Source organism: Homo sapiens, chromosome 12 (genome assembly GCF_000001405.40).
Source record: "Homo sapiens chromosome 12, GRCh38.p14 Primary Assembly".
NCBI classification, from domain to species: Eukaryota; Metazoa; Chordata; class Mammalia; order Primates; family Hominidae; genus Homo; species Homo sapiens.
Window position 1 is genome coordinate 111,652,693 of NC_000012.12, and position 13,255 is coordinate 111,665,947.

The 13,255-nt window shown below is 44.6% G+C and overlaps 1 protein-coding gene across 5 annotated transcripts in view; it reads right to left on the bottom strand.

The window, feature by feature from the left end:
• Positions 1-13,255, bottom strand: part of BRAP (BRCA1 associated protein) — a 43,811-nt gene that overhangs the window by 10,547 nt on the left and 20,009 nt on the right. For 4 of the 5 annotated variants that reach the window (XM_017019992.2, NM_006768.5, XM_005253944.5 and 1 more), the window contains 5 exons: positions 12,947-13,095; positions 7,908-7,983; positions 6,515-6,653; positions 6,044-6,153; positions 2,874-2,963 (listed from right to left, as the gene is read on the bottom strand). In XM_017019992.2, the coding sequence (XP_016875481.1) occupies positions 2,874-2,963; positions 6,044-6,153; positions 6,515-6,653; positions 7,908-7,983; positions 12,947-13,095 (564 nt within the window). The remainder of the gene's footprint in view (positions 1-2,873; positions 2,964-6,043; positions 6,154-6,514; positions 6,654-7,907; positions 7,984-12,946; positions 13,096-13,255) is intronic. The other variant, XM_047429623.1, reaches the window with a different exon arrangement.

A 13,255-nucleotide genomic window follows, 5' to 3' on the forward strand; every position in this document is an offset into this window, starting at 1 on the left:
ATAGTAAGATTCCCCCATCTCTCTCTCTTTTTTTTTGAGATGGCGTCTCGCTCTGTTGCCCAGGCTGGAATGCAGTGGCGTGATCTCAGCTCACTGCAACTTCCGCCTCCCTGTTCAAGTGATTCTCTTGCCTCAGCCTCCTAAGTAGCTGGGACTACAGGCACGTGCCACCAAGCCTGGCTAATTTTTTGTATTTTTAGTAGAGATGGGATTTCACCGTGTTAGCCAGGATGGTCTCAATCTCTTGACCTCATGATCCGCCCGCCTTGGTCTCCCAAAGTGCTGGGAATTACAGGCGTGATCCACTGTGCCCGGCCAACCCCCCGATCTGAATAAAATTTTTTTTTTAAATCAGCCAGGCACAGTGGCACCCTCCTGTGGTCCCAGCTACTAGGGAGACTGAGGTGGGAGGATCGCTTGAGCATGAGAGGCTGAGCCTGAGGCTGCAGTGAGCTGTAATGGTGCCACTACATTCTAGCCTGGGCAACAGAGTGAGATCTTATCTCAAAAAACAAATGAAAAATTCTGATCATTAGCCCACAGTAAGAAACACCCATGACACACACAAAAGTGAAATGAGTTTCACAAAACAATATTAATTGTACTACATCCTAATATTTACATCTACACTATTTTATCTAATAAAAATGCTAGTTGTGGTCCACCAAACTCATTTTACAATCCACAGCTGGAAAAATACTGATTAAAATGGAGCTAGACATCCACAAGAAAAGATATACTTTTAGAGGAGGTCACCTTATGACTGCCTCTGCCTACCATGTGTTCCTCATACATGGCCATGAAAACTAAGAACCTTTGAATGTCTGTGAGCTTCATCTTCTAGAATAGGCTGTGCTCACATGCTATAATAACGGCACTACCTAAGGCACTGGGGGAAAGAAACAGTGTTTATAACTGAAGCCCACAATGAATTTCAACCTTGATCCACACCCCTCCTCCACATCAACAGAAGGCCCACAAACAAGAATCTCTGTCAGTGAAACCCAGGGTCCGGGTTACTGTTTCTCCCTGAACATGTTCTACTGCTGGGGGTGCTAACGGACAAGGGACTGGCCAAAAGGAGGACCGTGGCAGAACAAAAGGCTTGCATCATCCATTAACTTATGGATAAACGACATTTGTTACTAGAAAACAAAAGCATCCTTTTAAGCACCCCAAGCGTTTTATTTAGAGCTGCTCTGGCTTCCATTTTACCCTGACCTAAAAGCAAACATAAGTTTCAGTGTTTCGTTTTCCTGCCCCTTGACTTGCTTTTCAATCCTAGAGGGCAGAGAGAATCCTGAGCTTAGCTTCAAGGGTCTGGATGAAGCACTTGAGGTAGTCACACTGGTATATCCCATGGAAAAACCCATGAGTGCAGCTGCAGTGGAGCTGCCAATGCACTTCCCGTGAGCCAACTTCACAGTACGCGGCAGCGACCTGCGCTCTGCTCCAACGAGAGCATTGGGAGGTGGTCCTCCCTGCACATACTCTAATCAAGGCCTATTCAGAACTAGCAAAGTCAAGTGACCTTGAGTGCCACTGGAAGGGCACATGCATTGATTAGAAGGCTCTTGTAAGAAGTTCATCAATAACTTTTAACTGCAGATCATTTTAAAACTGACTTTTTTTTTTTTTTTTGAGACAGAGTCTCGGTCTGTTGCTCAGGCTGGAGTGCAGTGGTGCAATCTTGGTTCACTGCAACCTCTGCCTCCTGGGCTCCAGCAATTCTCCTGCCTCAGCCTCCTGAGTAGCTGGGATTACAGGCGCCTGCCACCACGCCCGACCAGTTTCTGCATTTTCAGTAGAGATTGGGTTTCGCCATGTTGGCCAGGCTGGCCTCAAACTCCTGACCTCAAGTGATCTGCCTGCCTCGGCCTCCCAAAGTGCTGGGATTACAGGTGTGAGCCACTACACCTGGCCTAAAGCTGATGTTAAGCATTAATTTTTACAGACCTTGATTTTGCCCACTTACGGCATATCCAGAAACTGGGGCCCATGGCCCTGCCTGCTAAGCTCCAGGATATTCCTAGCCACCTCAGAGGTGGGCCCCAAGCCCAGCTCTGTACTGCCTATCTGAAGGCCCAAGGATAGGTGGGGACTCACAAGGTTACTAAAGTAATCATTGAGAAATTTTACAAGATTTTATTTCATACTAAGGGAATCACTGAATTACAAACACTGTCCCTAGGTCCAAAGAAAGGTTCCTAGAGCCATAATTATACACAATTATACACAGATGCTTACTAGTTTTCAGACTACCTTCTTTGGAAGTCACAGGGTTCCTTGCACATACTGGAGACAGAGCTCTGGGCCTTCCATCTGAGTTTCCACCAAAATCATACCACTTTTTAATTTTGCTAAAGTAGTGAATGGCATCTTTTTTAAAGGACTATTTTGTTAAAATTTGAAAACTGCTGCCCTAGACCTTCAGGGTGAATAATGAAGTGCCAGTATCTCTGCCCAATTTTATTTCCTTCCATTTAGAAAGGCTCTGCGCCATTTCATTGCCTTAGAAGTTCATGTTTAGCTCCCAAAGGCAGCGGTTCCCAAGTGCCTAACTCAAATGACAAACCCTCAGGTAGATACTTCTATGTTTTTAGTGGAACTTCACAAGGCACTAGAAAACCAGACTGAGGTTTAAAAAAAAAAAAAAAAAGCAAACAAAACCCCCTAAGACCCCAAAATATCAAAACAGTCAAGCCTTTAAATCCAAAGTTTCTTTTTAGTGGCAAAACAGTTCTCCACCTATTACCTGCCTGAGAAGGGAAGATGGTAAGATTCCTCTTTCCCTGTACTCTGCCTTCCACACCCCCCATCAGAGTGCCCTGCCATGTGTCATTTCCGCAGTCACCCAAACCAAACAGACTTACTTCCTCTGCTGTGTCCTTCTCTATCCGAACTATCTTGTTTTCCCAGTAGATTCGCTGAGATTCCAGCTGGCTTGTTAGTAAATATGAATACTAGAAACATAGAGAATAAAGACCAAAATGTAAGTCACTGTTGTCAGCCTCTGAAATCCAATTTAAAAATCTGATATTTAATGATCCACAGAAAACTAAAACTAACCAACAGAATGTATATTTACGCCCTGGTTCTACTCTACTCAATATATACTGGACCAGGGGACACAAATGACATTATGCTTCTGTCTTCCTGGGGCTTACAATCTAGTCAGAATAAATGTACTTATAAAAACCTTTATTCTGGTCAAGCTGACTTTAAGAAGAACCACAGTGGTTTTAAATCTATGTATAACTCAAATAAACTTACCTGTCTCCCTGACCCCATGAAGCAGTCCTGTCCCATCCTGTCCCAACCAGCACTTGAGTCAGGCACCCCCTGACTGATAGCACTGTGCCTATCAGTAACAGCACTCAGGACAGCAGCACTTCATCACCAGTTTACCTGCCTGTCTCCCTGACTGGACTGTGAACTCTTTGAAAGCAAGGGTTATATCTCTACTGCTGTATCTCCAGTGCCTGGCACATGGTGGATGTCGAGAATTGTTTGCTGCATGACTGCATGAATGAATGAACAGTGCTGTGTAACCACAGGGAAGGGACAGATGGCGTATGACAGTAAGATGTGAGAGAAGGCGAGATTTGAGAGGGTGCTGACAGATAGAAGAAGAACAGATAAAGACAGAGATCCGAGTCCAGAGAACTACTTGACCAAGACAGAGCTGTGGACATTAGAATCTCTTCAGAAATGAATGAGTAACACTAATGAGGCTGTTGTAACACTAATGTGCCAGGTTAGGAGATATGGCACCAGTGGAAGGCTTTGGGGTATTATAATATTGACAAATATGGGCAATGGGGAACCCAAGGCCAAGGAGTGGCAAGGTCACATCTCCATTTTGGAAAAACCATTCTAGAAGACTAGAAGAGATATAAACATGTCTGCAGACTACAGAGAGGGCAAGGAGAAGAACACCTATGCTACTGAACCCTAAGCTCCATGAGAGCAGGGAGTTTGTTCAATACTGTGTTTGCAGCACTAGCACCAGTGGCTGACAGCAAAGATTTTTCTTTTTTCTTTCTTTTTTTTTTGTTTAAAACTGGGTCTCATTCTGTTGCCCAGGTTGGAATGCAGTGGTGCAATCACGACTCACTGCAACCTCAACCTCTTGGGCTCAAGGGATCCTCCTGCCTCAGCCTCCTGAGTAGCTGGAACTACAGGTGCATGCCACCACACCTGGATAATTTTTTTTAAAATTTATTTTTAGTGGAGACAAGGCCTTGTTATGTTGCCGAGGCTGGTTTCAAAATCCTGAACTCAAGCGATCAAGCCTTGCCCTCCTGAAGTGGTGGGATTACAGGCATAAGCCACCATGCCTGGCCAATAAATATTCCTTTCTTTTTGGAGACGGAGTTTCGCTCTTGTCGCCCAGGCTGGAGTGCAATGGCGCCATCTGGGCTCACTGCAACCTCCGCCTCCCAGGTTCAAGCGATTCTCCTGCCTCAGCCTCCCAAGTATCTGGGATTACAGGCGCCCACCACCACACCCAACTAATTTTTGTATTTTTAGTAGAAGTGGGGTTTCACCATGTTGGCCAGGCTGGTCTCAAACTCCTGACCTCAGGTGATCCACCCACCTCAGCCTCCCAAAGTGCTAGGATTACAGGCATGAGCCACTGTGCCCGGCCAGTATTTCTTGTATGAATAGAATGCATGTACATACTTAATGTGGAGGATTTACTAATTCTAAATACTTAAAAGTGTTTGATCTTTATTAATACAATGATTTATTAATAACGATATAAAACTCATTTTAGGCCATTTTACTATCAGACCTTTAAGAGTCTTGAAATGAGCAAGTTTTCAAATGTCCACTTCCTCCTAAGGTTAAGGTATGTTTCTAAAACAACATTTTTTGAAATTTATATAAAACATGACTCGTGGCCGGGTACGGTGGCTCATGCCTATAATCCCAGCACTTTGGGAGGCTGAGGCAGGCGGACCACGAGGTCAGGAGATCGAGACCACCCTGGTTAACACAGTGAAACCTTGTCTCTACTAAAAATACAAAAAATTAGCTGGGCATGGTGGCACACACCTGTAGTCCCAGCTACTCGGAAGGCTGAGGCAGGAGAATCGCTTGAACCCGGGAGGCAGAGGTTGCAGTGAGCCAAGACTGCACCACTGTACTCTAGCCTGTAGCTACGGGAAAACAAATCTTAACACTGAACTTGAGACAACTACAGACATCACAATGAAAGTAACAAGGCACAGTGAAACTTAGACTTTTTTTTTTTTTTTGAGACAGGGTCTTGCTCTGTCACCCAGGCTAGAATGCAGTGGCACAATCTCAGCTCACTGCAACCCCTGCCTCCCAGGTTCAAGAAATTCTGGTGCCTCAGCCTCCCAAGTAGCTGGGATTACAGACATGAACCACCACGCCCAGCTAATTTTAGTAGGGACAGGGTTTCACCATGTTGGCCAGGTTGGTCTTGAACTCCTGATCTCAGGTGATTCGCCTGCCTCAGCCTCCCAAAGTGCTGGGATTACAGGGGTGTGAGCCACTGCACCCAGCTGACATTTAGACTTTCAAAGAAGAAAAACAGAATAAAAATATTTTAATAACACCTCACAGCAATGACCAAACATTTTTTTTTTTTTTGAGACAGAGTTTCGCTCTTGTTGCCCAAGCTGGAGTGCAATGACCCGATCTCGGCTCACTGCAACCTCTGCTTCCCAGGTTCAAGCGATTCTCTGCTTCCCGGGTTCAAGCGATTCTCCTGCCTCAGCCTCCCGAGGAGCTGGGATTACAGGTGTGTGCCACCATGCCCAGCTAATTTTTTGCATTTTTAGTAGAAACAGGGTTTCACGTTAGCCAGGCTGGTCTTGAACTCCTGAACTCAGGTGATCCACCTGCCTCAGCCTCCCAAAGTGTTGGGATTACAGGCATAAGCCACTGCGCCCGGCCATGACCAAACTTTAAAAAAAAAATGTACATCCAGGTAAATGACAAATATTTCAAATTAGAATAGTAAAGAGCAGTAGAAACAGATAGAGTGATAACTCATTAAATCTCTTACCTCTAACTGTAAGGCATCTATTTTCTCTTCCTGGCAAGTATCCCCCTCACATTCATACTGTACTATTTTTCCATCTGTTTTACTTGCAACCAGTCGATGAACATAGTTATCTACAGAAAGAGTCAACAAAAGTGTGTTTCTTTAGAATGAAAAGGGTCTCTGTACACTTTTAACTCTGACAAAATTTTTTTTTCAGATCTAATTTAAATGCCTTACAATATTTCTTTAAAAGTGTCAAATCATTTGAATTTTAGAGGGGAGGGAGAAAGCAAGAATGGAAGTATTAACTCCCTTTATAATGTGTGATTCAAGACATTCCTAGAAAAATAGTGCCCTCAGGGAAACTGAGAATTTGGGTTTGCAACAGCTGTCAAAAGATGACATTTCAAGCTGGGAGGGAAAGTGAAGGCGTTGTGAAGGCAAAGTTTCCACACAGAATGAGTCCAAATTAGAAAAGAGAGTGGTATTCACCTCCAGCATAGTCCCAGACTCGATGGTTGGTAAGCTGCATGGCATACGTGTGCTGCGTTTCCTCAAAGTGCTTATAAGCATGTCGACTGACATACCGTCCACATCCTATGTGGCCGCATATTAAACAAATCCAAAGATTCTGCCGGAAGAGGTAAGATCTTAATTAGTTAAATAAAAATAAATGATCTGGCTGGGCGCGATGGCTCGGAGGCCGAGGCAGATGGATCACCTGAGGTCAGGAGTTCGAGACCAGCCTGGCCAACATGATGAAACCCCATCTCTACTAAAAATACAAATATTAGCTGGGCGTGGTGGCAGCTGCCTGTAATCCCAGCTACTCAGGAGGCTGAGGCAAGAGAATCGCTTGAACCCAGGAGGTGGAGGTTGCAGTGACCCGAAATCGTGCCACTGCACTCCAGCCTGGGTGATAAGAACAAGACTCTGTCTTAAAACAAACAAACAAACAAATAATCGATCCAGCTCACTCAGAGTGGGAAGGAACCTGAGACACTAGAAGACAGAATTGTTGGTTGGGCACAGTGGCTCACACCTGTAATCCCAGCATTTTGGGAGGCTGAGGCAGGAGTATCGCTTGAGCCTAGGAGTTTAAGACCAGCTTGGGCAACATAGCAAGACCCCAACTCTACAAAATGTTTTTTTTGTAGAAAAAACAAAAACAAAATTTTTTAGAAAAAACAAAAACAAAACAAAACAAAACCTACTAGGCCATGGTGGCATGCACCTGTGGTCCCAGCTGCTTGGGAAGATGAGATGGGAGGAAGGCTTGAGCCCAGGTATTTGAGGTTACAGTGAACTATGATCATGCCACTGCACTCCAGCCTGGGTAACAGAATGATACCCTGTCTCAAAAAAAAAAGAAAAAGAAAAAGAAAAAACTGTTTCTACAGGAGCCTGAGTGATTAAATGTATGTTTAAAACCCAACAATCAAGGATGCTTTTATGGGTCATTTTTTTTTTGCTGATTTCTAAGGAGCACTATGTGAACAGCAAGAAAAAAATTCACAATTCATCAGTAAAAGTCTAAGCCTTTCAAAAGTGCAAAGAAAAAAGGAATAAATTTAGCTCAGGAGTAACATAATTTGTGTATTCATATGTCTTGCCCAACCCTAGACAAAAAGAAAAAAAATTTTAAAGAATTTAGGCTGGGTGCAGTGGCTCACACTTGCAATCCCAGCACTATGGGTGGCTGAAGTGGAAGGACCGCTCGAGGCCAGGAGTTCGAGACCAGCCTGGGCAACACAGTAAGCCCTGTCTCTTAAAATAAAAAATAAAAAATAAATTAAAAATAAAGAACTTAAGTCATACCAGGCAGAAGAAAACTCATGACAATTAAAGCTGCATTCTTTGTTCTTTTCCATCACCCATTACTTACTTCCTGAACACCACACTCAAAACACTTATTTTCTTCTACTGGCTCGGGCGTTTGACAGTACCGGCAAACAGGACACCTATCCAGGACACCAAAAGATAATGGTGCAGGTTAAATATAAAAGACAGCTGTTACAGAACCCAAAAGTCAAACACTGGATTTTATATCCTCCTCCTCTTATATGCTATTTTTATCATAACTAAGGATATCACTTAAAATAAAATATACAAAATAAAAATATACAAAATCTTGATAAAACAGAGAACAGAGAAATTGGGATCTGCCTCATGTCCTTTTCCGCTCTTATGTCTAAAGCTTAGATGATCAAAGAGCTAAGTATTTACAGGTTACAATTAGGACTTCATTTCATGTCTGATTATTTATAATTTTTTTTTTTTTTTGAGACAGAGTCTTGCTCTGTTGCCTGGGCTGGAGTGCAGTGGTGCGATCTCAATTCACTGCAACCTCTGCCTCCCAGGTTCAAGCGATTCTCCTGCCTCAGCCTCCCGAGTAGCTGGGACTACAGGCATGCACCACCACACCCAGCTAATTATTGTATTTTTGGTAGAGACGGGGCTTCACCATGTTGGCCAGGATGGTCTCGATCTCTTGACTTCATGATCCACTGGCCTTGGCCTCCCAAAGTGCTTGGATTACAGGTGTGAGCCACAGCTCCCAGCTTGTTTTTTTTTTTTTTTTTGAGACAGAGTTTAGCTTTTGTTGCCCAGGCTGGAGTGCAACGGCATAGTATCAGCTCACTGCAACCTCAGCCTCCTAGGTTCAAGCAATTCTCCTGCCTCAGCCTCCTGAGTAGCTGGGACTACAGGCATGCGCCACCACGCCCAGCTAATTTTGTATTTTTAGTAGAGACGGGGTTTCTCCCTGTTGGTCAGGCTTGTCTCAAACTCCCAACCTCAGGTGATCTGCCTGCCTTGACCTCCCAAAGTACTGGGATTACAGGCGTCAGCCACCGTGCTCAGCCTATAATGTATTTTTACTCCAACAAACAACCTGCCTTATCCCCATTTCCCAAAGATTTAAATCATTCAAAAAGTACCCTTTCTTCTCCAGGTTGCTCCTAAGAATTGGATTTAAAATCTGTAGTAAAAAAAAAAGGTTTTTTTTTTTTTTGTGAGACAGAGTCCTGCTCTGTCACTCAGGCTAGAGTGCAGTGGCGCGATCTCAGCTCACTGCAGCCTCTGCCACCCAGGTTCAAATGATTCTCCTGCCTCAGCCTCCCAAGTAGCTGGGATTGTAGGCATGCACCCCCATGCCCAGCTAATTTTTGTATTTTTAGTGGGCATAGGGTTTCACCATATTGGCCATGCTGGCCTCCCAAAGTACTGGGATAACAGGCATGAGCCACCGCACCTGGCTAAACACAAAGGTGTTAATGTACTTATTGAAATGCACATGATATCTCACTGCACCGTGAACATCATGTGGAAGATACCAGTGCTCTATCAGGCATTCATGTCTCAATTTACAAAAAGCCAATAAAAACAATGTTGAAAAAATCCATTAACTGTTTTCTATTATACTCCACACAAAATAATACTAAATACTAGTCATGAGTATTTTTGTTAGATGGGCAACTAGGACAGAAAGTGGGTTATAGCTGAGGCTGACTGAACTGGCACCAGGAAGAAACAATGCTCAAGATATAACTAGTGGCTAGGCGCGGTGGCTCACACCTGTAATCCCAGCACTTTGGGAGACCTAGGCGGGCGGATTACCTAAGGTCGGGAGTTTAAGACCAGCTTGACCAATATGGAGAAACCCTGTCTCTACTAAAAATACAAAATTAGCAGGGCATGGTAGCACATGCCTGTAATCCTAGCTACTTGGGAGGCTGAGGCAGGAGAATCGCTTGAACCCAGGAGGCAGAGGTTGTGGTGAGCTGAGATTGCGCCATTGCACTCCAGCCTGGGCAACAAGAGCGAAACTCCGTCTAAAAAAAAAAGCTATAACTAGTAACAGTTACCCAACTAAGTAAATAAAACCAAGAAAATGGAATAAACAGGAAGAACACTGTGTCACAGATGACACAGCTCTATCTGTGTAAGAGAAAGGAAAGGATCTAGTCCACTTCTTCCTTTAGCATCAAAAGAGAAGACAGAAGACAAACTCAAAGAAAGAACAGAAATGGTAGCCAGAAAGCAGAATGCAGAAAGTAGAAATTGGCTTTGTCTCATCCCTTCGGTCTGTGTGGTGGCTGTGAAAGTGGTTGAATAAGAAAACAGGCCAGGTGCAGTAGCTCACATCTGTAATCCCAGCACTTTGAGAGGCCGAGGCAGGAGGATGGCTTGAAGCCAAGTCTACCCTGGCCAATGTGGCAAAAGCCCTTCTAAAAAAAAAAAAAAACAAAAAACTAAAAACAACAGAATTAGATTTCAGAACTGGTTCTGAAATCTAATTCTCTACACTATGCCCAAATGATCAAAACGATCTTTCTGAAATGTAAATTTGATCTTGAAAAGAAAAAAAAATTACAAGAATAAACTTGTAAACAAACAATTAGCATTCTATGATATACTACCTCATCTGTCTACTAAAAAATAATCAACAGTTTATCGGCCAGGCACAGTGGCTGACGCCCATAATCCCAGCACTCTGGGAGGCTGAGGTGAGTGGATCACCTGAGGTCAGCAGTTCGAGACCAGCTGGGCCAACATGGCAAAACCCCATCTCTACTAAAAATATAAAACTAGCCAGGTGTGGTGGTACATGCCTGTAGTCCCAGCTACTCGGGAGGCTGAGGCACGAGGACTGCTTGAACCCGGGAGGTGGAAGTTGCAGTGAGCCGAGATCACGCTACTGCACTCCAGCCTGGGTGACAGAGTGAGACTCCATCTCAAAAAATAATAATAATAATAATTAACAGTTTATTAAATTCTTCCTGCCTTTCTCTGCAAAAAATTATTTTATCCTATTTTCCTGATGAGATCTTTGGGAGCTCTTCCCAAAGCCTTCTCTGACATCTCTATCAAAAAGACCAACACTGCCTCCTACTGCAGCCCTTCCTGAGTACCCCTGGTTGGGGATGCCATCATTCTCTCTTCCAATCTCCACCCTGAACCACATGTGTTTATGTCCAAGTGTAAACTCTCTTAGACCAAACCACCCCAAAGAGGACCTGAATTTGCTTCCTCTGTCTCAGCATCTCTCACAGTTCTATGCATGTACCAAGGCTCAAAACTCATTAAATGAACTGCATGATTCTGAGGGCAAATGGCATGTCTTACATCCCATATGACAGGTTGAATTCTAGTCCCAGTTCTGGCATTCTCTGGCCATGACACTTTGAGCTTGCAAATTCTTATCTTTGGGCCTGTGTCCTCCTCCTGTATAAAATGAGGTTGTTGGAAAAAATGGTCCCTGAGGAAACTTCCAACTTTAAAATGCTATGGTTCTGTAACAGTTAATTTATATCAAAAGGAATACTGGGGATGGGTATCGTGGCTCATGCCTACAATCCCAGCACTTTGCGAGGCCAAGGCAGGAACACTGCTTCAGCTCAGGAGTTCAAGACCAGCCTAGACAACATAGCGAGACCCCATCTCTACAAAACAAACAAAAAAAACAATTAGCTGGGTGAGATGGTGCACACCTGTAGTCCCAGCTACTTGGGAAGCTGAGGCGAGAGGATCACTTGAGCCCAGGAGTTTGAGGAGGCAGTGAGCTGTGATCATACCACTGCACTCCAACACGGGTGACAGAGCAAGACCCTGTCTCAAAAAAAAAGTAAAACTGGAGTGGCGGGGAACAAAGAATTGCCTAGAACTTAACTGGTATAGCAGATGGACTGAAGATACAGGTAAACACTTTAAGGAATGCACATATCTCAGTATGGCTTTGTTCAAGGCAACTGGACAATTCCTTGGAAAACTCCCAAATGATACCTAAGAATTGACTGAGGACTCCACGGAATTGGAGCAAGACTCCTGTCCAGCTAAATAAGCAGGGCAGTGATAAGCTGCAGAGACCCAGTTTATTTATGTGCTCCTCAGTGTCTACCACTGTGTGCCACGTCCCCCACCAGGTGTGAGAGACACAGCAGTGAGCAAGCCAGGCATGGCCCCCGCTCTGTGAAGCTGATATTCTTCTTCCGGCCACCAGGCCACTTGTGGGTGGACAGAGATTCCTGTAGACTTTCACCCCTCCTCACTTCTGTGCTTGGGAACATGATCTTCCCCTTCCCCCACTGCCTTCTCTGGGTTCTGCTCTTTACCCGGCTTAACTCCTAATTACCCTCCTGGAGATGCCACTTCTCAGGTGGTCCTGGCTTCATTAGGGCCCCAGTTCTCAGTCCCAATGCTGCACACTGCTCTTCTGTAACACTGGTTATGGCTGTGATTTATTTACTTGTGTGATTTCATTTCTGGGTTCCCCTCTGTACTGGGAAATCCAGAAGGCCAGCATCTGATACACCTTTCTGGTTAAGTCCCACAGTGCAGTCTGCAAAGGGAGCAACCATCCTGGATTTAGGGGGTAAAAAAAAGGTACAGGCCTTACCTGTTCTTTGTCTGTAGCAACATCACCTATGACTAAGACCTGGTATGTTGGGAATCAGGAGGCTGTAGAGTAGATCTCATACTTAGTAACTGCTATTTCTACTGGCCACCAAGCCATCAACAGCCCAGCAAAGCTAAAATATTAGGCTGCTGTAGCCCAGTTGATAAGAAGCCCAGAGTGAATGGCAGACACCAAGTGCAGCTGATACATGAGATTCCAGACCTAGATTTCACTGCAGCACGAGAGCCTCAAACTAAGCTTTGCTTTTTTTTTTCACTCTCTGGCTCTTGGAAGGAAAGAACAACTCATGCTGCTTTGGGGAATTCCACAAGGGTTCAGAATCAGCATACTAAAAAAGGACTTGGTCTCAGAATGCCGATTCCCTGAACTTAGGAAAGGGAAGGAGAAAAAGGACCTCTTGAATAAAGTCAAATACTTGGAATGGTTCATTTCTGCTGGTGGCTCTTTTTAATTCTGGAAGGGTTGCAATGGGCTTGTACACAGAGGGGTTCGGCCCCTGCACTCACGTGGTATCGTCCCAGCGCTGTAGACACTGGCTGTGGAAGCTGTGGTTACATAACGTTGTGAGGATGCCATTCACAGACTCGTCCATGCGCTCCAGACACACCGTGCACTTGGGGAGTTCAGTCAGGTCCATCACTGGGAGGCTGGCGCCCTACAGGAAACACCTCACATAAGCCTCACTCTTCATCTACCAGCAATACTTTATTTTTCCTTCTTTTTTCTGAGACAGGGTCTCGCTCTCTGTCACCCACGCTGGAGCCCAGTGGCGCAATCATGGCTCATTACAGCCTTGACCTCCCAGGCTCAAGAGA